At 38.6% G+C, this 26,139-nt stretch overlaps 1 protein-coding gene and 1 long non-coding RNA gene across 6 annotated transcripts in view; one reads left to right on the top strand and one right to left on the bottom strand.

Annotated features, from left to right (window-relative positions):
- The window catches only part of CERS6 (ceramide synthase 6), a 318,863-nt gene that overhangs the window by 292,005 nt on the left and 719 nt on the right, over positions 1 to 26,139 (bottom strand). The window lies entirely within an intron of this gene.
- The window catches only part of LOC102724081 (uncharacterized), a 59,691-nt gene continuing 34,560 nt past the window's right edge, over positions 1,009 to 26,139 (top strand). For all 4 annotated transcript variants that reach the window (XR_002959433.2, XR_007087286.1, XR_007087285.1 and 1 more), the window contains exon 1: positions 1,009 to 26,099. This is a non-coding gene — a long non-coding RNA (uncharacterized LOC102724081). The remainder of the gene's footprint in view (positions 26,100 to 26,139) is intronic.

The following is a 26,139-nucleotide window of genomic DNA, read 5'->3' as shown; positions in this document are numbered from 1 at the left end:
GCACAGCTACAATAAATGTTAACCATAATCTTTGATACTGACACCACCACCACTACAGCTATTAAAACACTACTGCCATTATCAACTGGGCATTTTTAAACCTATTACTGTTTCTCTTTACTCCTGCCTTCAGACTTTTTATACTGTCCAGACTATCACATGCAAGAGACATGAACTCATTATCTTTTGGGCTATGATGGAATTTACAAGAGATTAAACCACCAGTACTTAAGAGATGGCTATTTTATTAGCAGCTATTCCAATCATTAGACACTTAGTTTTTATTTCGATTTAGAGATGAGCTCTTACAAAGATAAACCCAATAATTCTATCAAATGTACACAGCCTTCATCCTGCAGAGCTTCTAGAAATTCAAGGAAAACAAAAGGCTTAAAAATAAGCCTGCAAACTGAAAAACTGCCTTCAGCTCCGTGCCACTGCACTAATCAAAGATAATGTGAGTCCCCCAGTTGTATAAATGGAAAACAGAAACTTTTCTCTTAGCAAATCCTTCCAGATAGATGCCTGATTGCAGCCCTTTGAAGCTGACGCAGTTGAAATCAAATTTTTTGCATGAATTATGCACTACAGCAGAACAGAAGCAAGACCACTCATAATATGCCTCATTGTGTGAGAAAGCTGAAGGCACAACTTGTACTGTGCATTTTCTGGGAAGCCAACATTCCTGAACTAGGTGAGAGGCACATGGTGAGAGGTTACTTTAGCTTCTATGGCTACACAACCCACAAGAGCTAATGGCTTCAACAACTGCACAGACTCACTCACTTGTCTTTTAGTGGCTTTGTTCCACGAACTTCCAAGTCCATTGATCTAGTCCACCATAACTGATTTTAATCCAGCTAGTAAATGGGAAATTAGCATGCATTTAAATTCATTTCAATTAAATCAAGATAAACTCAAGAAAACCTATTTTAGTTTCTAAGGTCCACTAACCATCATCATTCAAGATTCATCCAAGTCCAAATTTAAAACCTCATTTAATTTTTTCCCTAAAAGACTATGATTCAAGTTTAAATGCCATAATTTATTTCAGCACTTGTGCTCTAACTACAAATTCTACAAATCAAAATTGTTCATATTTACTGGATTTATAAGGGTTCCATAACAGAACTGTTGAAAGTCTTTGAAAAATGTTTTTAAAGATTTCCTCTGAAGTTATTCAAAAATTCAACCTAAGCTTAAATTGCTGTTTTCTAAAGGGAAATAACTTCTAAACCAAAACTACTCCTAAATCAAATGTATTCATGCTGGTACTATTTCAAATTCATCAAGACACAAGAGGATAATAGATGTTCATATTTACATAGGAATGATTTCTTAGCTCAATAAGTAAACCCACATTTGGGAGAAACAACTGGTCTTTCAGCTAAGCCATGATTTCAACGTTATTCCTACTTACATAACAGATTAAGCATTTATTTCTCAATACTAAAGTCAAAAGAAACATTGGGCATTGAAGAGCTTTATGATATTCTAAAGGCCAGCTTCAGATCTGGAGCTAATGAAGACGGGTCAGGAATTACCCAGCAATTACTTTATTCACTCTATTCAGTGTTTACACCTAGAAGCCCCAATCAGCTGCAAATGATCCGACTTGACCAGGAAATCAGAAACTTTCTGAGCACAGGCAAAAAAAAGTTGCTCAGTTGCAAAGTCAGCTTGCGGCTGATGACCTGTAACTGTCCGTTTTTTTTTGAGACGGAGTCTCCCTCTGTTGCCCAGGCTGGAGTGCAGTGGCACAGTCTCAGCTCACTGCAAGCTCCGCCTCCAGGTTCACATCATTCTCCTGCCTCAGCCTCCAGAGTAGGTGGGACTACAGGTGCCAGCCACCACGCCTGACAAATTTTTTGTATTTTTAGTTGAGACGGGGTTACACCATGTTAGCCAGGATGGTCTCGATCTCCTGACTTCATGATCCGCCCACCTCAGCCTCCCAAAGTGTTGGGATTACAGGCGTGAGCCACTGCGCCCGGCCAGCCTGGCCAACTGTCCCTCTTTCAAACCACAAGCTCCTCAAGGATCCTCTGCAGATGCCTCTCTGCGAGTCAAGCCCAGGTTGGTGCCCAGCAACTTTCAGAGTGATGTTTCATTTCCTGCATGCTTTCTCTACATAGCACCAGTAAGCCTGGACTTCTAGCCCATGATAGAAGCGTGCCCCTAATTCCCGGCTATCTTTCTAACATGGACTCCCCATGCTACTCAAGACTTCTATCCACAATTTATGTCCTCAACAGACTCTGGCTTGTCTGAGGGTTCCAACATTTCCCTCTTATTCTGACTTAGATATATGTCTACTCTATTTCACATAACTTTCCCCAGTTCTAGGTTTTCACCCTAAATTTAGTGGCTCAAACCCTAATATCTGGCTTCAAAAAAACTCAGCAGAAGTTCAAAAGCATTTCTATTCCTCCAAGCTCATATGTTCTTTTTCCTACACTAGGCTGAGGTCCCAGATGCCAGTTCTCAGACACATTAGTGGCTCTAGATATGCACTTAAAGCAAACATAACCTTAAACGGTAAATAAAGAACCCGGAACTTGGAATTAACATATGCGTTTCTGATGCTAGCTCTGCCACTAAGATCACACCACTGTATGATCTTGGATGAGTCATTAACTCTCTAGGTCTGTTTTTTTCATCTCTAACATTAAGAGGTTTTATAATTTCAAAGTTCTCTTCCAGCTATGAAATTTTATTATTATATTCTGCAAAAGTATTTGTCAGATTAATTCCTAGACATATAAAGACATATAAAGGTTTAACACATTATCTATTGTTATTTACTCTGCCATTTCTCCTCTCCATTTGTGTGGACAACTGAAAGTCAATTACGTATGCTAAGGCAAAGACATTGGGGAAGACTCCCTATACTTTTACTCCACTGGCATATCTAGATGAACAACTTAGTGCCCTGCTGATTAAAGGACTCAAAGACTCATCCATATCCATTTCTCTCACAAGTTTAAAGAAGCAAAACCCAGTCGCTGCTACCTACTATGGGCCAGGGATCCAGTTAAGCACTTTACTGCCTTAATTCCAATCCTCACTATTTGAAAGGAAAAAATGATCACCATTTCACAGGATCAGAGTGGTTCTTTAGCTTACCCAGCATCACAGCTCTAACAAATGGTGGTGGAAGAATTCAAATGTAAGACCTTTGCTTAGGACAGGCACGCTAGTAAAGACCAGAAAAGGTATTAAGGCCGGGATTCGTGGCTCATGCCTGTAATCTCAGAACTTTGGGAGACCGAGGCGGGCAGATCACCTTAGGTCGGAAGTTCGAGACCAGCCTGACCAACATGGAGAAACCCCGTCTCTACTGAAAATACAAAATTAGCTGGGTGTGGTGGCACATGCCTGTAATCCCAGCTACTCAGGAGGCTGAGGCAGGAGAATCACTTAAACACAGGAGGAGGAGGTTGCAGTGAGCCGAGATCGCGCCATTGCACTCCAGCCTGGGCAACAAGAGCAAAACTCTGTCTCAAAAAACAAAACAAAATAAAAAAGAAAGGGTATTTAACATCTCAGGCTTGGGCACAAGTGATCGCAACACTCAACCTGCCTGCCATACCATAAGCATGCATTAAACTTTCTATTGCATTTAACAGTACTTACATTGTGCCCTTCCCAAAAGATAGAAAGAAATGGATTCTCCTAGGAATGGCTTCAAATTTGTCATATGTGAAAAAAGAAAATAAAGTCTGTAATTTAAACATTATATATACACACACACATGCATATCTACTTGCTATATTTAAAAATCTAGTTAGAAATGAAAATATGTCAATGACCCTATCATTTTGAACAAGTAAACATAAAATGGAATAAATAAAAATACAGATGAAAATAAATGGGAAATACAGAAGTCATTTATTTTAACTCAGAGTTTTAAACTCTGTCTCTAAAAATGAATAGAAATTAGTACTAACTAGTAAGATAAATTATAAAGTTACAATAATTAAAATTGTCATCATATGGTAGAAATTTAGAATATGATCGAGGTAGCACTTCAAATCAGAGAAAAAAATATGGATTATTTAGTAAATGATGTTAGGACTATTTGCCAGCCAACTGGGGGAAGAAAACAAAATCTGGAGTTCCCATTTCTGACACCAAAATTAACGAAGTTCTCATCTCTCACACCAAAATTAATTCAAGATGGCTCAAAAATTTAACAAAAAACATAATGAAATATTCAGAGAGAATTTTTGTTAAACATAATAAATAAAGTAAATGTTTTTATCTCCAAGACCTCTTGAGACCTAAGTCACTAAAGATTAAATTAAACAGGGTAAAATTCTAAAAGGACTAATGATGATGATAACAAATAAGAGATGTCACCCAAGACAGAAGGGCCAGGGTAACTGATTAAGCCAAGTGGAGATAGCTGAAGCCTAACCAGCTCCAGTGATAAAAGTCTCCAGGGATGGAAATCAAAGAAAGATGTCTTACACTTTCACATGCACGAGAATCACCTGGTGATGCCCAGATTCCAAGTCAACAGATCTGGGGTGGAGCCTGAAGTGCTGCATTTCTAACAAGCTCCCTGGTGATGGGGCAGAGGCTGATGGTCTATGGTTCACACTTTGAGTAGAGAGGCTTTAGACTAGAGAATGCCAGAAATGTTTGACAACTGTAGGCACCAGATACCTCTGGAGGTCAGGGTGTAAAGTTCAGCTGGAACAGGATACTGGTCCAAAGTCTGTACAAGGAACATGAACACCTCCAGATTGGGTCCCCGAAACCAGGTGACTGCTCTCCCCAGCCCCAGCAGAGAGGGGTGGTTTACTCCTGGGAAGGTTGAATCACAGAGGACCTGGCTTTTGGGACACTGAGTACAGTGACCAAAACAGGATTAAGATAAATCTTCATCTCACTGCTCAGCTCTCAGAACAGTGGCAGCAGGCTTATAACCATCAAGCAGGCTAGAGAAAAGCTGTTCTCTGGGGAAACTGACTAGTTCAAGAGAAAGTACTCTAAGGAAAAAACAAAACAAAGCAAACAAACAAAAAAAAAAACCCTGAATGATCAGACTACATAAAACTTGAAACCTTCAGCCAGGGAAAAATATCATGAAGTCAAAAGACAAAGCACATAAGCAAATATTCTCAGTATACATGAAAAAGAGCATATTTCTTTCTTTTTGCATAGGAAGCCTTTATAAAACAATAAACACTCCCAAAAAAGACAAAAACATTAATTCGTGGAAAACTAAATACAAGTGGCTTTAAAACATATAAAAATGTGCTTAACTTCACTTTTAAAAAGCGCAAGTTAAAATAATACCATTTTTCACACAGTCAATTGGCAAGCGTTTGCAAGTTCAATCATACTGTTAGAAACTTTCCTTCAGTGAGCAGAAATATATAAACACGTACAATCCCCTAAGGGGACAATTCTCCAATATCTATCAAAATTCAAACAGACCCAGCCACTTCACACTAATAGAAATTTAAGGTAATTCACATGGAAAGAAAGAAAGACGTACAAAAGTTGCCACTGTGACATTGCTTTTAATAGCATATGATTGGAAATGATCTCAAGAAGCACTGATAGGGGAGTGGTTAAATTATGATAAATATATGCATTTTATATGCTATATAAAATGTTAAAAATTCTGCACAACCATTTACTAGAAAAAAGTTGACTTTTCAATATTTCCATAAAAAGATGTTCAAGATATAGTAAGTGAAAAACAAAGTGCAAATGAGCTTATATAGTTGTGTTAAATAAAATGTAGAGACACATGGCTATGGACTGAATGTTTATGTCCCCCCAAACTTGCATGTTGAGGCCTACAACCCCAGTGTGATGGAACTAGGGTGTAGGGCCTTGAGAAGCAATTACAAGGGTGGAACCAACCATGAATGGAATTAGTGCCCTATGAGACTCTCTCTCTCTCTCTCTCTCTCTCTCTCTCTCTCTCTCTCTCTCTGTCTCTCCCTCATTCCTTTCCTCCCTCACTCTACCATGTGAGTATACAAAAAAAAAGACAAAGAGCCTCTGCAAACCAGGAAGAGGTGCCTCACCAGACACTGCATCTGCTGGTGCCTTGATCTTAGGCTTGTCTCCAGAACCATGAAAAATAAATTTCTGTTGTTTACGCCACCAGTCTATGGTATTTTGTCATAGCAACCTGTGATGGTTAATTTTGGGTGTCAACTTCACTGGATTAAGGCATACCTAGAGAACTGGTAAAGCATTATTTTGGGGTATGTATATGACTGTGTTTCCAGAGGAGATTAGTATGTGACTCTGAGCAAATTAAATGGGGAAGATCTGCCCTCAATATGGGCAGACACTATCCAATTGCCTGGGGTCTTGGATAGAAAAAAAACAGAGGAAAAGGATTTCCTGTCTCTCCTGGAGCTAGCACACACTCTTCTCCTCCCGCCTCTGGACATCAGGACCCCAGGCTCTCCAGCCTTGGGACTCCAGGACTTACAAAAGCAGTCCCTACTACGTTCTCAGGCCTTTTCACTTAGACTGAGCCAAGGTACTGATGCTGCAGGGACTCCAGCTTACAGACAGCCTATTGCAGGACGTCTCAGCCACCAAGATCATGTGAGCCAATTCCTCTAATAAATCTCCTATCTAATCTATCTAACATATTTATCTATCTATCATCTATCTATCCATCCATCCTATTGGTTTTCTCTGGAGAACCCTAAGACACAACCCTAAGACATATATACTTGAACATGCATAGAAAATATTCCAGAAGGCAGTTGCAAATGGTTGTCTCTGAGGAGAGAGTTTTATCTTTCATGGTATACCCTATTTTATTGTTTGATACTTTTTTACAATATGCATGCATTGATTTTTTTTTCTTTATTAGCTTCCTTCTCAAAGAATTACACAGAGCAAGGTGATAAAAGGGTGATTAAAAAAAAAAAAGAGGATGCCAGAGAGGAGCATAATTAATGTACTGGCTGGAAGCTGCCATTCCTTGTTCTGTCCAACAACTGGTTTGAGAAGATAGGCTAACCTCTTTTGCAACTCTTTCTCTGTACCTCAGAAAGAGAAACAATAGTAATAATACACAAGTTTATTTTAGTTTGTAATTTTGAACCCTTCATCTATTGTGATCATTTATTTCATAAACATATGTCATATATTTGAACCTTTTCCAACTTAGTGCCTTAGGCTTACCTAGCTAACAAAAACAGTGAGCCCGGACTTGCATGTGAGAGGGTAGTTGTATTCGACATTAACAAATGTCTGATTCTAAGCCTTGAAGCCACCATGTTGCAAGACCAAACACGACCCACAGAACACAAACACTACCACACTGGGGCAGGAGCCAATAATCTTGAGAAAGTTTGCCTGCTGTAACTAAGCCTAACAGCCTGACCTATGAGCCAATGTGCTTTATATCAATTTTCTAAAACCAAGAAATATTATTAAGAAACTAGCTACTTCTAGTAAACTTAACGGTTTCCCAATTCAAACCCTTGGATACAATTTCCATAAAATACCAATAAAAATATTATATATAATCACTCCTTTTTCACTAAACTATTACTGCTAGCCTTATTGTTTATACATCCATTAAATTTAATCATTGATTCTACCCTGTCATTTCACCAAATCCATACGCAGTAAGTTCTCTACCACTTTGAAGCTGTACATTTTTATGAGAAAAAATAAATCCCACGATATAAAATTGCTTTTCAAAAAGTTACTTTTAAAAAGCCATCCTAGAATGTCTTTATTCTTAGAGACAGTCTAGGATGGCTTTTTAAAGATCCGTGCTCAACTACTCATTGGTGATGCGTCATAATAGCTGCGATTTACTTTGCATGCTACAGAAAAAATATGATAAAATGTTAATAATCATTGAATTCTGGTGGCAAGAATATGAGTGTTCGTGGCACTTTTTTTTAGCTTTTCTCTATATTTGAACATTTTCATAAAAGTCAAAAAATGTTAATACATGCCATCCTATTGGTATAAAAAAATAACTTTTCCCAAGTAGACAAGCACGATGAGATAATATGATGACTAAAAGGTAGGGTGGGACAGGCAATCAACTGTACTGAAGAACAACGTAGTTCTAGATTTAAAGTCTTTTTGAGTTCTCAGTTCATAGTTGTTGCTGAATCTTGGTTACTTGTTGCTTGTTTACATGCTGAATGAAAATGTTTCTACCATCAGAATAGCTTAATCATAAGGTAATTCTTCTGATAATAAATTATTAGGAAGCCCCATACAAGGACAGATATTCTTCATTACTGATTTCTTGTTCAAGGTAACTTATGGTTGACTTTTATTTGTTGTAAAGGAATATAACACAACACTCACCATTCCTGTTAGCTAAGTAACCCTAAGGCAATGAGTTGGGAAGGGTGAAATATGTTTGTTAAATAAATGTTTGCAATAGATGTTGCAAAGTTCAAAGTATAAACTTGAATTTCTCACTGTATTTTATGATTATCATTCCCATTTCTTTAAAGAAAGAGTGGCAAAATGTCTTGTTATGGTATTATTAAATTTCCTTCCTAACCAGCATCCCAACCTTCTGTTCTTTGGAAAAGTCATCATGTTAAAATAGTTGTTTTCTTTATAGATTAAGTTTACCAAAATTACATTCTATTTGCTGCAGGATAAGTCATGGTTGGGAGGACACGAGGAATGCATTTCCTCATACTGCGTTGGTAGGGATGTCAATTGGTATAATTTTTCTTGAAAGGTTTTCAATGCATTTATCAAAATTTTAACTCTGCACATTCTCTGATCCAGCAATTCTACTTCTTTATGTCAGTTTAGGGAAAAACACCTAAATGCAAAAACACCTAAATGCAAAGAAGTCTGTATAGGAATGAAGTTACTGCATTGTTTCCTATAGCATTTATGGAAAAGCCGTTAAATCAACTAGGAAACACCCACATAACGGGATGCTGTGCCATCACATTAAAAAGAAAATGGCTCTACATTCACCAACATTGGAAAATCCCCAAGACATGGCCTTACGTGGAAAAAAGACAAATAAGTTTCAGAGCAAGACTCAGAATATACCATTCATATTTTCTTTTGTTTTTTTGAGAGACATGATCTTGCTGTGTTGATCAAGCTGGAGTACAGATTCACAGGTGCAATCATAGCTCACTGCAGCTTTCAACTCCTAGCCTCAAACAGTCCTCCTGCCTCAGCCTCTTGAGTAGCTGGGACTACAGGTGCGTGCCACCACACCTGGCATCATTCATGTTTTAAACAAACTTTATCTTTCCATATACATACATATGTAGACAAATCATTGAAAAAGGTCCAAAAGGACATGTATATCAACTACTAATACTGGACACATCAGGGAAGAAAGTGAGATAGAAGAAACAGTGAAAATGGAGAACTGGCTGTGTGTTTTTTTATTTTTTTATTTTTTTCGTGTATGGGGAGTTTCCTAATGAGACTATAGACATATCATTAGTAATTTTTAAAATAACTGTTAAATCAAGAGGTATCATATTCTAAATATTTCAAACACAATTTTGTAGCATTAATGTTAGATAATGAAACATTTTTTAATCCACAAATTAAAATTAATGCCCTAGAAACTAACAAACGGTTACTGCTGACACAATAATGCACTAAGATTTATTATATATTGTGTCATTACATTTCTAGGAAAACCGAAAAGAATTCAGAATTTCCATTTAAAAGTAGCCTGAAAAAACAATCATCTTAAACATGAATAATTTGGAAGAATGTTGTTGTGCCCTTTTTGTAGAGATACTAGGACTTAGTAAAGTGATTATAAAACTGAAAAAAATGCAAACAGAGATAGCAGCACAATAAAAGGGTAAATTTTTTTAAGATTACAGAAACATTAAGAACAAAAGAAAAAACTTAAACAAACATGAGTGAAAAGATACATGGTAGGCAGGTGTGAAAAAAATTAATAAAACCACATGGAAAAAACTAATAATATTAAAATGATTATAGACAAGATGATAGACATGAAAGGCAGACAAAGGAAATCTAACATATGTATAACTGATATTCCTGAAGAAGAGAAGGATAAAAGGAACAAAAGATAGATCCAAAGACAGAACAAAAAGCTTAAATAAGAAAAATTGAGATGAAAAGATACGTTTTTAAGGTGAGCATAATGTTTCAAATGCAAGCACTGCAAGTTTTAAAGACATTATTTGCAAAACAAAGTATTCCAATGTCACAAACCAATATTTTGTGTTCAAAATATCTGGTTTTTTCAAATCCAAAGTATCGGATACCTTTGTTTCCATTGTCTCAAATGACAAATTGAGTGAGACCATCTATATTCAAGGAACAAGATCCAGTTTGTCAACAAACTTATACACCTATCCTATTTAACATCCTTAATCTGTTTATCTTTTAAAAAGAAAAAGATGTAAAGATACTGTATTTTTGTCTCTTTACTAGCGCCTATCCTTATAAAACAGTATATTAATCAAATAAGGTGGAAAAGAAAATGGATGTTCTGACTATGGCCTTTCTCTTACTTTCTCACATTCTGACATCCTCTTCCCATTCCTTTTTCAGTAATTTCTTTATTAAATTCGATGGCCAAATACCAATCAGATTTTGTACATAAACACACACACACATATCTAAGCATGAGCACAGACTTAACACAAAGAAAGAAGGTTCTATTGGTAATGACAAGTACCAGAGCTTCTGTCGTCCTCTATAAGGAACCTACTATTCCTTAAGTGGAATAGTGAGTTTTGCTGCATAAATTAGGCCTTTCCTCTTCATACTGCAAACGGTTTTTAAAGCTTCTGGGGTACCAGTAATGTTCTGATCCTTGATCTCTGTTCTGATTAATGAACACATGGTGTATTCACTTTGCTGTGATAATTCAATGAGCTGTACAAGAAGGTATACTTTTATGCGTGTTTCAGTATGAATGCTATACAGGGAGAATAAAAAGTCTGCTTTAGAAAAAAATAGCATTTTTCTAACAATGCCATATGAACATTTGCTAAGCAAGTTTGAGTGCTGGGGTTTAGAGCTAATACCCACTAGGGTATAATGGTGACTGAATCAGCGTTTCTCCAAGATGGAATTTTAAGCCCAACTCAGGAATCTATGCTCCCTTTCATTGTGCACACATGGGTCAATCAGCGTCTGCACTCACACTCTCATCTACATCTCTCCCTCTCTCCACAGATTCGAACTGGGCCTCAGAAACAAAAAGACTATGTTCAACTTTACCTGCAAAGATAAGTGTAACCTCTTCTCAACACCCAAAATATATAATCATATACTATTTACTTACTTTGGCAGTTCTCATTCAGAGCAGCAGCCGGACTCTTAGATTGGCTTTTAAAGTAAGGTGGAAGTTTCTAGCAGCTAAGCGCATTCAATTTAGAAAAGCTTTAGACAATCTGAAAGGAAAGAAATTCCTTATATTTGACCCCTGAATAAAGAATTAGTTATTGGCTGGCAAGTGGAATGGCGATTGACGGAGAGAGCGGCTACCCAGGTCTGGTTCTGCTTTAAATGCAGTATTTTTGTCTCATCTTTAACTCTGAAAAAGGGGGAAACAGCTTACCAAAAAATAAACAGTTGTTTTAAATTGTGGAACCAAATAACTCAAATTTATTTCCTTTTTAGAAATCAGAAAAACAGCCTAAAACCATGACGTTATCTTTGAGAACAGAAAGAACATTTATTTTATGCTATTACATAGTTTTTAAATGCCAAAAAACTAAAAAGTAGTATGTAATAAATAACATTGAAAGTGTAGCAAAAGTTGAGGTGAAAGCTCTTATTATATATGCAAGTGGATTTGCCCCAAATTCATTATTACCCTGGGAAATGTGAGAACAACAGACCATCTGGTAACCAGGGCTCAGGGCCAAAAGGTAAAAGGGATCCCCTTCCCAATGAGGAGATTCCTTTTACCCAGGACATTTTTAAGACAGAGTAGGTTCTGGCAAAGAGGGGAAGGTAAGAAGATGTGAAAGCACTAGGCAAATAGGATTCAGCAGTCAAATAAGCGGTAAGCCATGGTCCTAAATTGGTTTACTTGCCTTCTGCCCAATCTTAGATGGCTTGACACTAACCAGGTGTGGACAGCCTGGGGCAGGGACATCACAAGTATTGACACTGGTAAGCCTGTTTAAAGCTTAGAGACCCACAGCTAACGCCTGCCTCTGAGCGAGGCAGCCTTGGGAGGAGCTGGAATTTCCTAGCACTGTTCTCATTAAACTCTAAGATATAGTTTACTGGCATGTTTATTTCAGGAGCCTCATTCTTTCAAATAAACTATACCTAATGCTAGCAAAAGTAAGCTTCACACATTGTAAAACTCAAAACTATGAACATAAAACACATACACAAAACCACTTGACTGCCTGAACCCTCCTTAGAAATCCTGTCTGGTTAACAACCACCACCTGCATATCTGTTTTTGTTCTCTCCCTAGTCCCTTTGCAATTCTGCAAGCAGCCATTTAAGTGTGGGAGCTTAACAAGCAAGACTTAACACACACTGGGTGAAGGCAGAAGGAAAACAAAAAAGTTTATGGTCTCAGTAACACAGGCATGCTAAGGATGAATTAGCACACCAGGAACTGACCCTGGCTATCTACAGACACAGTTCTGCCCTCAGAAGCTCCAACCCACACTTAATGGGGAGCCTTTTAATCACCTTTTTAAAAAGCCATGAAATGTGGCACAGGGACAGTGGGGGCAGGCAACACCCCTCAGTCACCAAGGAAGCTTCTTCCCACAAACACTCTAAGTCACCCTTAGGGCGAGACAGAGAAGCCATTTCTTATGGTGCAATCATAGTTCATTGCAGCCTGGACCTCCTGAGCTCAAGCGATCCTCCCATCTCAGCCTCTGGGGTAGCTGGGGCTCCAGGTGCATACCACCACGCCCAGCTAATTTTTTTTTTTTTTTTTTTTTGGTAGAGTTGGCAGGGTCTCACTAGGTTGCTCAGGTTGGTCTCAAACTCCCAGGCTCAAGCAGTCCTCCCAAAGTGCTGAGATTACAGGCATGAGTTACTGTCCTGACCTCAGGATGGGTTTAATAGGCTGAGCAGTCAGGTAGAGTGACCAGCTGTTTCAATTTTCCCTGAAATGGCATTTCCTGAGACAATCTCAAATCAGGATGAAATGGTTACTCTATAATGGCACTGCTAGGGTTCCAGGTCAGCCAGGCTCTGCCAGGACCTGAGTGAGTGGCAGAGCACAAGTCACTTCATTCATCTCTTTAGGCTGCGTATCTTCATATCCAAAGTGGGAGGTGGAGTAGTATTTTTATCTCTGCCAGTATTTCTCAAAGTGTGGTCTTCTGGTCACCTGTGCCATGAAACAGTGTCTGACAGTGGTATTGCAGTTGTGGGGGTGGGTAGGAACAGTGTACCCTGGTAGGGAGGAGTATTTTATCACTTCTATCAATTCTGTGTTAATAACTGGCTTCACATGGTGCCAATAAAAGACTAACTTTTAACCAATTTTTTTTAATTCTCTACAGCTAATACATCACCTTACTGCGTGTACCCAAAGCAGATCACTCCCACCATTCCCCACTTCAGGACACCACTGTTGTCTGACCCACAGTGGACTTGTAGATCTCTGAATCACTAAGTTTCAATTTCCATTTTCAGTAGAAAGTCTATGACCCTAAATGATGACTGAATTAAAACAGGGGCAATTTTTGGTAATTTGTCGTTATACAGCATTGTGGTTTCATCTTTGCCTTACTTCCTCATTTAATAGACAACCCACCACAAATGTCCCCTTTCATCACCCTAAGATGTCTCTAACAAAGCCTTAAGAAATGAGCAGGTTTGTTAAATTATTTACATGGCTAACTACTTACAAATTATATTTAAACTATGCAGAGCTGGAAAAGTGCCTATAGTTGAAAGCAGGTGCAAATTCCTTCTGAATTAATTTAGTCAGCCTAGGTTCGTCACATTCACACCAATGGAAGTTCCAATTTGGGGGTGCAGGTTTATTTCTCTTAAAGAAAAAAAATACATACATATATTATTTTCAGCTAATTTTGAATGTTTCCATTTTCATAAATGTGATCCCAATGTCACTAGACTGAATTTCTTTTTTCTTAAGGATCAAATTAAGATAATCCACTAGGCTTAAAATTCTGAAAGAAATCAATAAATGTCTGTCTTGAGGCTGTCCTATTTCTGGGAGGCTCTTATTAGGAAAAATGTTTCTGAGCTGTCTAAATATTAATGTACACCCTCAGCAAAGTGATTACATGAGTGTGAAGTGGACAAAGCCCCATTCCTCACTAAGCTGCTAGGGGTGTTTTCTGCCAGCTACAAGAAGAAGAATCAACATCTTCCTCAGAGGAAAAAAAGAGAGAGAAGGGAAAAGAGAATAGGGAAAGTAAAACTCTGTACACAGACAGCCCTAACTAGGGAAAATGGGGATCTATGCAGGAAAGAGGTCTATGGTAAATGTCTATGATGTAAAGGTAAGGCCAGTGAAGTCCCATTTCTGAAAATAAGAGTTTCAACAAACACTCAGAAAGTGATTGTGTGTGTGAATAAACCTGAAGAACAAGTAATCACTATTTCACTGAGCTAGGCATTGCCCTAAACACAATGCAAATATTATCTCATTTAATCCTCACAGCAACCCTATGAGTTTCACATGAAAACTGAGCTTGCAGAGGTTAAGTAATTTGCCCCTAGACCAGTAGCTAGCAAGTGGCAGGGCCAAAACACAGCCCAGGTCTTAAGTCAATATAAATGCCAAACTTGATGTGTGCCCTTACCAGTGGTCAAATACCCAATCAATTTTCCCTTGAGACTGCGTGCAATAAACAACTATCACTGGGGCTAGACCAGGGGAAGTAGGTGGAGATATCTGCATATCACTGAAAGGCAGCTTCCAGAGAAAACTCCACCCAGAGGGAGACCATCTTTGGGGATGGGGGTCTCTCTCCAAAGGCACAGAAGCCAGAGCAGAGGCCAGGCTCTCAGTGGCACACAGCGGCCCCCCACTTGTTTAACACTCCACCATTAGAAATGGTTTTCCACAGGTCCCCAGTATACAACCCACATCATTAACTGTTGAGAAGAAAAGGCTTAAAAGCATCCTCCCTCCCTAAACTGGCACAATGCTGAAAAGATTGGGGTTTCAGGGCCTGTCTAAAACTCTAAATATTTACTCTTCAATAGAACAAGTAAATCCTCCAGGTCCAGCATCAACTATGTAAACAGGCCCTACTGCTTCCACAAGTTGTACCATGACCCCATGTCCTTGGGCCCCCCCACACATATACCCATTTATTTTATTTTAGAAAATCAAATTACAGAACAGTATTTCTCAAGCAGGTACTCAATACTGTACTCTGGTATCAATTATTTTCTACACAACGTGTATTTTTACGAACCAGGTTTCATTGAATCCCCTTATGTACATTTTTGCAGAGAGTGCTCAATACTGCAAAGTGGCATATTCTCCATTTTACAAGAGAGGACACCAAATTTGAGAGAATATGTTGTCTATTACTGCACAGGTGATAAACAGCACTGTTTGAATTTAAACCTGAATTCTGTAATCTTTCTGATATCCCACCCATTTTCCTTTCAATTCTAGCTAGAAATAAATATACATGTCTATTAATTGCAATAGATATACAAAAGAGCAACACAATTTAAATATACTGTTATCAAGTCTATCCATGCAAAGATGTACACACACCCACTGACATACAAAGCCCTTTTAGTCTCCCATTTTCCATAATGCCCAAATGACTGATTGCTTCATTCTCAGTTTTTCTTCACTCAAGCTATTGTGTGCAAAACTGCCACTGCTTAAACCACCAAGTCACTTTATTCTGCTTTGAAATGGTGAGCTATTAAAACAAGATCTACAGAGCCACTTAGACTAGCTGGCAGCTTTTACTCTGATACTTGCCAAACTGTGTCCCTGGACAAGATTTTAGATGGTTTTCTAAACACCCTCCCCCACTCTTAACTCTATGCTGCTCCTCTTCTCTCAAAGACTTCCCCGTGTCTTTAAGAAAGGGTCTGTATCAGTAATAATAAGAAAGGAGGAAGTGACAAAGGAAGAAGAGAGGGAAGGAAGGTGGGGGAGGAATCGAGGAAAGGAAAGAAAGAAAATACAATCTTAATCACAGCTTCAGGAGAGCAACAGTAGCTTTGTAACCTGAAAACCTCAAAGATAAGATGTGACATTTATGTAGACAATGGCGAGTTACAAACAAATGTTATTCTTAGGTCACTGTGTGCAAAAGGTTACCTAGTGAAGGAATGCATCTCTCCTGCAATTAAAAACCATTTGTGTATCTCTAACCTCAGCCTTGTCAAAAACAAGCCCCACAACCGAATTCTAAGTTATAATAGTAAAAGCAAAAGTAGGAATAGAAGGCAGGAGTGGTCCAAGAGAAGCCCACTTTGAAGACCAGTAGAGAGAAAAAGGAAGTTCTTCTTTAAAAGAAGAAAGAAGAAAAACAGCACTGCCCAAAACATTCTTACAGATGAATTACGGAAAACAGTATTTTGTACAATGACCAAACATTAAACTTCAAAAACTACTGTTGAATAATATGTACCTGACTGCTTCTAATCAGATTGTTTTTATAATATGCAGCATTTGAGAAAAATCATCTTTAAATACTCAAGTGTTTGAATCATTTGCTTGTAAAATGCATGGAAAATTAAACTGAAAGCTAGGGAGGAAGATGAAATCTGATCTTCACTCACCCAGAGCTTCCATAGGATATACCTGTGGCCTAGGCTGCTAAGGAGAGTTTTATCTCATTATCCTGGTTTGCTTTAAATGGATTGTGTACTTACCAGGGTGACTTGACTTTAATCCTAGACTCCTCCGAAACTATGCAATGTGCTTTTCTACAGACACTTTGCTCTCCTCTTCTACACATGCAGCCAGTTTACTATTATTAAGTTGTCATATTAACAAATGGACTTGAAATGATATGCTCAGTTCAAGTGCCTTCTAAAAAAACGGGATACTTAAGAGCTCTCTGGGTTTAAAAACCTTCCTTCTATCACCCCTCACCTCCCACCCACCTATGCCAGACGATTCTGGAAAGAAGAGGCGCTCTCCTAGATTTGAGGGGAATTAAGCAGTTAAAAAAAAAAAAAAGCAGTGCTTGATGAAACTGAGATAAACAGAACTGGGATGTTTGTTCCTAACTAGAAAAATGTCAAGCCAAGAAAATGAAGGCAGTAATTTCTAGTGACCTTTCAAGTCAGCAAATCTTCTATTTTTTTTAATTGTGGTAAAATACACATAGCATAACACTTACCATCATAACCATTGTTAAGTGCACTGTTCTATGTCATTAAGTACATTCACATTGTTGTGCAACCAAGACCACCATGCAGGACTCTTTCCATCTTGCAAAACTGAAACTCTGCACCAACCTCCAGCACCTTGCAGTCATCACTCCACTACCTGTGTCTATGAATCTGACTACTCTAGGTACCTTATATAAGTAGGATCCTACAGTATTTGTCTTTTTGTGACTGTCTTATTTCACTAAGCATGTCTTCAAAGCTCATTCATGCTGTAGCAGAAATTCCTTCCTTTTAAAAGATGAATAATATTCTATTGTATGTTGCTATGGTCTGAATGTTTGTGTCCCCCCAAAATTCACGTTGAAACCTAATAACTAAGTGTGATGGTGTTAGGAGGTGGGGCCTGTGGGAGGTGATTAGGTCACAAGGGTTGAACCCTCATGAATAGGATTAGTGACCTTAGTGAAGTGGCCCCAGAGCCACCTCGCCCCTTCCGTGATGTGAGAATACAGTAAGAAAGTGCCATCTGTGACCCAGAAAGTGGGCCCTAACCAGATAGTAAATCTGTTCACACCTTGATCTTGGACTCTCCAGCCTCCAAAACTGTGAGCAATAAATTTCTCTTGCTTATGAATTATCCAGTCTACAGTATTTTGTTGTACCAGCCCAAACAAATGGAGACATATGTATATGCCACATTTTGTTTAGCTGTTCACATATCAATAGACACTTTGGTTGCTCCCACCTTTTGGCTATTGTGAATGATGAACATGGGTGTACAAATATATCTCTGAGACCCTGACTTCAAATCTTTTGGGTGTACACCCCTAGAGGTAAAATTGCTGTATCATATGGCAATTCTATTTTTAATTTTTCGAGGAACCTCCATAGCAGTTGCACCATTTTACATTCCCACCAACAGTGCACAACAGATCCAATTTGTCCTCACCCTAGCCAACACGTGTTATTCTGTTTGTTTCTTTGTTTTGATAGCAGCCATCCTAATGCGTATCTCATAGTGGTTTTGATTTGTAGTTCCCTAGTGATTAGTCTAATAATAAGTCTTTTTTTGTTTGTTTGGTTTTTTTGACATGGGGTCTCACTCACCCAGAATTTAGATAATCCATTACAGGAGTAGAGTAGTTTTTTTTTTTTTTAATTTAGGCTCTATCCCTCTTTCCCTCATAAAGACCCATTCAATCTTGATGCCTCAGTCTTCCTCCCAGCCCTTTCTCTCTGCCTCACTCTCCATAATAAAGTGTTAATATCAGTTACTTCATCATCCTCTTGAGTGTATTCCTTCCACTATTTAAAATCTGAGAAGCTCCCTTCCTGATGATAGTGACTTAGCATGTGGGGAAGAGTCGGGAGGAAGAAATAAATAAAAGAGTATAAGGCCAGGTGCGGTGGCTTATGCCTCTAATCCCAGCACTTTGGGAGGCCAAGGCGAGCAGGTCACTTGAGATCAAGAGTTCGAAACTAGCCCGGCCAACATGGTGAAACCCCATCTCTATTAAAAATACATAATCCCAGCTACTTGGGGGGCTGAGGCATGAGAATCACTTGAACCTGGGAGTCAGAGGTTGCAGTAGCTGAGATCACACCACTGCACTCCAGCCTGGGGAACAGAGTGAGACCCTTGTCACACACACACACACACACACACACACACACACACACAAAAAGTATAAATATGTGACCAGAGAAAAAGACCACGATAAGACCACTCCACATTAAGAAGTAAGAAAAAACCTGAAGGCCACCAATTTCTTACAGAAAAAAGATAAAAACTACATCTCCTCATCCCCATATGAAAATATACCTGAATTCACAGAAAATTAAATACCAATTATTAATATCTGAAATAAGTTTATCATAAGCAATATAAGAACACACATTATAACAGTAACATTTCTTTCAATTCAAAGCAAAAAATTTTTTTGTTTTGAGACAGGATCTTGGTCTGGCGCCCAGATTGGAGTGCAGTGGCGTGATCTCAGCTCACTACAACCTCCACTTCCCAAGCTCGAGTGATCCTCCCACCTCAGCCTCCCAGGTAGCTAGGACTACAGGTGAGCAACACCACACCTAGTTAATTTTTGTATTTTTTTGTAAAGACGGGGTTTTGCCATGTTGCCGCAGCTGGTCTCAAATTCCTGGGCTCAAGCAATCCAACCTCCTCAGCCTCCCAAAGTGCTGGGATTACAGGCATGAGCCACTGTGCTCAGCCTCCAGATTTTTTCCAATGATAATAATCTATATTCTGATAAGGAAATACGAATGGGTATAATCTTTCTGGACAACAATTTGGCAATTTGTATCCATCAAGAACACTAAAACATTTATCCTTTTGGGCTCAGAAATGCCACCTCTAGGAAACATTCCTTAGGAAATCATCAAGAATTAAAAGACTTATATAAACTGGAAATGGCCTAAATATCGAACAAAAACATGAACACTGGTTAAGTAAATTATGGTATAACCACAGTGTAGAATAGCTTATAGTCATTAAAAATATTTTTGAATAAGTTCAATTACATGGAAAGTATTCAGATTATATCATTAAATGGCAAAAGGCTAAATATAAAACCATATATATACAGTATGATTGAATGATATTTACTTTAAAATAGGAGACACCAAAATTGTTAGATCAAGAAACCTAGTTCCAAATTCCTACACTGCTATTTTAAGTTATATAAAGTTAAGTGTATTTCCTAAATTCTCAATCCTAAATTTCATCCATAAAATGGGGAAAAATTAGTATCCACCTTACAGGGCCTGACAGAGGATTAAATAAAGTAACCACGTAAAGTAAAAAACTCATTAAGGAATAAATATTAGTTGTTACTATTGTTTTCAAAATTTTAAAAGTTGTTCATTAAAAATGGCAGTCATTCAAAATAGTCAAACATCAAACAAAATAAATGGTAAGCACCAAGTCATAGCTTCAGACCATGCATCCAATCATCCACAGCATTAGTAACAAGAAACCCCAAAAAGACATTGCAAGAATCACCCTGACCAGCTGCAGTGACTCACACATGTAATCCCAGTGCTTTGGGAGGTCGAAATGGGAGGATCACTTGAGGCCAGGAGACTAGCCTGGACAACAAAGCAAGACCCCATCTCTACCAAAAAAAAATTAAAAATTAGCCAGGCATGGTGGCACCCACCTGTAGTCCTAGCTACTGGGAGGATGAGGTAGGAGGGTTGTTTGAGCCTCAAGGCTGTAGTGAGCTAAGGTTATGGCACTGCACTCAAGCCTGGACAACGGAGTGAAGCCCTGTCCCAAAAAACAAGTAAATAAATAAAAGAATCATCCTTTTGTGTTCAATCATGCTACAGTATAGATGTCAATAAAGATTATGGTGTCAGGAAAGAGAGACCAAAAAAAACTTATGAAATCATTTTTAAAAGGTGGCCAGGGGGAAGAAACCAAAGAATAAAATCCTAAGAATAAAGATTCTCAAGGCATTGCTAATATGAAAGGATCACTGTGCTATACGAGGCAATCCTGTTTACCTTTAAAAAAAACGAAATGAAAAAATGGTTCCTAAGAAAAATTAAGTGACACAACTAGACATACAATCTGGAACTCCAGTATTCTGATTCAAAAGTGTTTAAGAAATTAATCAAAAGAAGATGAGCAAGGAAAAAAAATAATAAAATTTTGAAAGTCCCGACTATGTAAGAAATAAATAAAAAATCTGGTTTCACCTGGTGGTAAGAGGAAGAAATGTAAGTGTATGCAATAACATTTGAAACTTTTAATATACAACATGGGCCTAGGTTCTAGTGTTCACCAACAAGGTTTAATCAAGTTAGTAAAATACAAGAGGGCAGCCTGAGGATGGTGCAGCAATGTCTGACAAAGCCATGGAACTGGTATGCTGATGGAGGAAACTCACCTGAAATCCCATTTTCCCTCTGCTGCCACCTGTCCTTCCCCATCACAGAAGAGCAACCACTTCTGAAACACTTTACAACCAGGAATCCAAGAGAAAACTAGCCCTGTCCATAGAGAATTCAAATATTTTCAACAGAGAAGTCATAAGTGAACTCAGGGTATTAATTTCATAATCCTAGATGACATTACATCATGGTGATAATTTAAAGTTATCTCACCTACCTCCTCCACCATTCTAAGGCACTGCCCCTTAACAGTAATGTTATGCCTTTTACCCATAAATTAACCTATAACAAATAGCCAAACTACTTCACTGTGTAAATTCAAAACTTTTTATTTTACTAGATGAGAAAACTGTACTAAGTTCTGCAAAGAATGCCAACCCTCTGATTTTAGGTTGTTCTCCAACAAAACATCCACTGTCATTCAGAAACTATGAGAAGCTATTTATGTCTGCAGACCACTTTTTTTTTTTTTTTTTTTTTTGAGACAGGGTCTCACTCTGTTGCCCAGGCTAGAGTGTAGTAGCGCAATCACAGCTCACTGCAGCCTCAGCCTCCCTGGGCCCATGTGATCCTCCCACATAAGCCACTGCACCCGGCCTGAAGCCCACTCTTGCCTCACACACTAGTCTCTGGCAAAGCAGGTATCCATAGTTTTAATGTGAATATTGCCATATAACTTAACAAGCTAAATAAGGAACACTTATAGGGTTTAACATCCAGCACTGATTGCATGAGAAAACCATGGTTGTATGCAAGTTGTTCCCAAACAGTCTTTTAAAATATATCAGATCAGTCTCTTCATTACAAGGTACACTATAGGAACACTGAGGAACAAATTCCTTCAGTAATGAACCTCACCTGATACCCCCACTGTTTCCTAGTAGTCATTCACTCACTCCCCTCCTTTCCCCCTAAGTACCAGCAACCAGGAACACGCTCTCACACTCTCTCTCTCTCTCGCTCTCTCAACTATCCTAGAAGGCCTCACCCAAGGCTAGTGGACAATAAATCTAAAAGAAAAAGCCTGCTGGCCAGACATTCCCTCAGACACAACTGAGACCCTGTCGTTTCTTGAAGGTTTGGGACAGCAGATCATTCTTGGGCTGAGTGAGTGAAGCCAGACTTTGCTGTCAGCCTCCCAAAGGATGACACTCCTCACATAGCCTAGCATTTTGAGAGCCAATCTGGCAGGAATTAGCTTCTCATTCTTACCCAGTCATCACAAGAGGTGCCAGGCCTACTCTGGGTTCTACCTAAAAGAGGTCTAAGGAAACGGAACAATTGCTTTCTCTATAGAATCTTTGTTGGTTATTCTGAAATACTGTAGCTTTTTGGAGCATAAATGATAACAGCCCAAATGATTCTTTTGACTCAAAACACAGCTGAAAAATACAAGAAACAAAACCATTGACTACAATATTTCTGTGGAAAAAAAAAATCTCTTGACCAGGTGCAGGGGCTCACACCTATAATCCCAGCACTTTGGGAGGCCAAGGTGGGCGGGTCACTTGAGCTCAGGAGTTTGAGACAAGCCTGGGAAACACAGGGAGACCCCATCTCTACAAAAAATTACAAAAAATTAGCTAGGCCTGGTAGCATGCACCTGTGGTCCTAGCTACTCGTGAGGCTGAGGTGAGAGGACTGCTTGAGCCCAGGAGGTGGAGGTTGCAGTGAGCCATGATCATGCCACTGCACTCCAGCATGGGTGATGGAGGGAGAACATGTCTCAAAAAAAAAGAAAAGAAAAAAAAAAGACATTCAGCCGCTTCAAAGTTTCATCAGATAATAATTAGTAATTTTCAAGCACAGATGATCCACAGGAATCAAAGAATCAGGAGGGTGAAAACAATAAGTTACAAAGGCCATTTGCCTCAACACATAAATGAGAAAATAAACAGAGATAAATTAGGAGGCTGCCCCAGTGTAAGTTTTGACTAGAATTTGAGTGTTCTGATTCCCGATCTATACTTCCTGCATCTCTCCTAAATCCACAGCATTAAAGTTAACATTTGTAACAATAACTCAAAGAATTTTTATTTCTAAAGAGATTCAGCACAATTTCCACATTTATAAATACCACAGCAAAACACATTTTTGAAAAAGTGAAGTTGGAAGAAGCATTTATTATAGTTCCTGAGAATGGCTTACTGAATCTAAACAAGCATTAAATCAAGAAAATTCATCAAACAGATGACAATGCTATATTATTAATAAATAACATTTTGTTCTTTGTGATCAAGTTAACATAATATAATGGTATACAATTTTTATTCTAAGAGAATCAGCCCAGTTGGGGGAAAAAAAAAAACCCACATACTTTACTCTGTCAATCAATTGGTCGCTACAGTGGTCCTGGTCCTTACCCGGAGTTAAGTATGGTATAAAGGCTATGCTAAAAACCACCAAGCTTTGAGATCTTCACAGACTCAGCCAAAAGTCATTGACCTTAGGCTGCCCCATTTTTTACCAACCATGCTGGGCTTCCATATTGCTGTCCATATGCTGTCATAAAGTGACATGTTCTGGCTACCAATGCCTCCACTATCCACACCACAACAGCCGGGATGAAAATAAAAAGAAAGGACTGTTTAACTGGGCAAAGCCCATTTCAGTCAATTCTTTGATGTTTCTCTTAGTAGAGAGAAATACCTAAGACTGAGAAGAAGGCATTCAAATTCACGATTTTAGCCTCAACAAGGACATTACTGACTTCACTTAATGTAAAATAAAGACTTGGATAATCGGGTATTTCTTAGGTATGGTCTCAGCTTTGAAATAAATGACAAAGCATACAAAGAGAAGAATCTTGAGAGAATTATTCCTATTACAAAAGCATTTCATTCTACAAAGGGATTCACAACAGGCTTTTAAAATCATCGTATACATTATAGAATACTGCAAAAGAAAAGGATGTATATACAAAATGCTAGAAGGCCATTGAATGTGAGTTGTAGCAGTGATAATACTGAATGGTTCTGTTTTATTGATTCAGGCCCTTGATGGATGCTACTGAGATGAAGGTCACAGGTTGGATCCCAGAATATGTCATTTAGGTTTGAGAAGAGGAGAAACATGCAGAACTTCTAACTCTAGATACAACTAAATTGTGGATTTTCAGAGAATTGAGAAGGTCTGAATGGTTAAAGACAGAGCTATCATAGGAAGAAACAAAGTAGATAGTCTTCCAAAAGTCAGTAGCATTCTGTGACATATGTGCCATATTGGATTATTATTCTGAACATTAACCATAAACTTTCACTTTCCATACAGGCCATTAAATCTCTTCTACTTAGATCAATGGCCTGAAGGAAACTGACCAACTCACTTTATATCAATATGAGGACATTTGCTGTGACTGACAATTGAAAGCAGCTCACCCCTCTATGTAAACTCTAAGTCGAGTCATGGGATTATGGAAAAAAAGAAAGAAAATAAAAAATGTTTAGAAAGAGGAAAAATGAACTTCCAGTTTTCAACTATCACATTAGTGTTTATCTTTTTAGAGGCAGAGACAATCTAAGTACAAAGCCATCTCCATTCTAACAACTTAATTTTTTTAAACACAGTGAACAGCCTGGAATCAGCATAGAGAAGGAGGATGTCAGGAAAATTCGGCTGTTTGTGCACAGATCATGCTTTTGTTCTCCAACACATAAGACTGCACATCTCTTTCAAATGCATTATCTATCTAAAAGTGAGCCCAGCCAGAATTTATCAGACACAATTTATCATAATTCAGCAATTGTGTGTAGATCCCCTACTATGTGCCAACATAGAGCAAACCTGCTATCCCTGAGTCTGCTTGTTTTTGGAGAGCCTGCAAAACTGTATAGAGTTCATATTTTCTGTAACCAAACATTTGCTCTAGAGGTAACTCTACACCTGCAAACACACCCATTTTTTCACAGCACTGCTGTGACTTTTTTGATCCTTTTTTGTATAGGATCAATGACACATCTGTATTAGATTCCAATAATTTAAACATAGGTCTTAAAGTCTGTTGCTTTGTGCATGTCAATTTCTGCAGGCGAACAGCTGACTTCGTTTTCAAGCAACAATACTGTCCGGTGAAAAATATACCTTCCTGAGACAAAAGATACTTTTTGTCCCCATGAAGCTTTGTTGCCTCGTCCAGCAGCAAATGACTCAAAAGACGCGTTCTGCCACCCTCAACAGTCGTTTTCAGGCAAAGAGGAACAGCAAATGAGGTACCAGCAAAAGCTTAAGAAACAAAACCAAGGTGAGTTGAAGGCGGGGAAGAAAGGCGGAGTGGAAGCGAGAAATGCAATCTAAACTCTACTTTGTGATCTAAGAAATTCAGCCTTTACTGATGAATTGGGCAGAGGAAGGGGAGGGTACAAGAAAGGGGAAGATAATATTTTCTGTTACGAAAAAAAAAGTGTGCTGCTGTCCTGGTTTTCTTTCAGTAGCACCCAGAGAATGCATGGCAGGCACAATCTAGTTTCGCGACGAAAACGAATTCCATGAGAATAACACAAGTTTGTATGTGACACAATGGAGATATCCAACCAAACCGAGGAACTATACAATTGCATGACAATTCCTCAAAATTTTAAGTGCCTTCGAGTACCAAAAAAGAAGTTTATGATTATTCACAGGACAGGGTTATCAGTTTAATATCACCATTTTGCAGGATGTGGACCCGTCCTGTCACATCCTCTTTTAAAGAAACCGCTAATAACCTGAAATGCTATTATCCCCTATTTGCCAGGACTGTGGGCCTGATAGTTTCACGGATAAAAACCAAACAGCGACCAGAAGCCAGGAAGTCCCTGGCGAATTCTTTTGAAGCACAACCCCTACAATCCGTGTGCCGGAGCATAAAGATTGAAGTGTGCGCGGTTCCTCCTCCCTCCGGGCCGCGCGTCCGGAACGTTCCTGGCTGTCAGGTGGGTGGCGCGGGCCCCGGCGGGAAGCCCTGCCTGGCAG

This window comes from Homo sapiens, chromosome 2 (assembly GCF_000001405.40).
Source record: "Homo sapiens chromosome 2, GRCh38.p14 Primary Assembly".
NCBI classification, from domain to species: Eukaryota; Metazoa; Chordata; class Mammalia; order Primates; family Hominidae; genus Homo; species Homo sapiens.
Note: the sequence above shows the minus strand (reverse complement) of the source record. Positions and strands in the feature narration are given on the sequence as shown.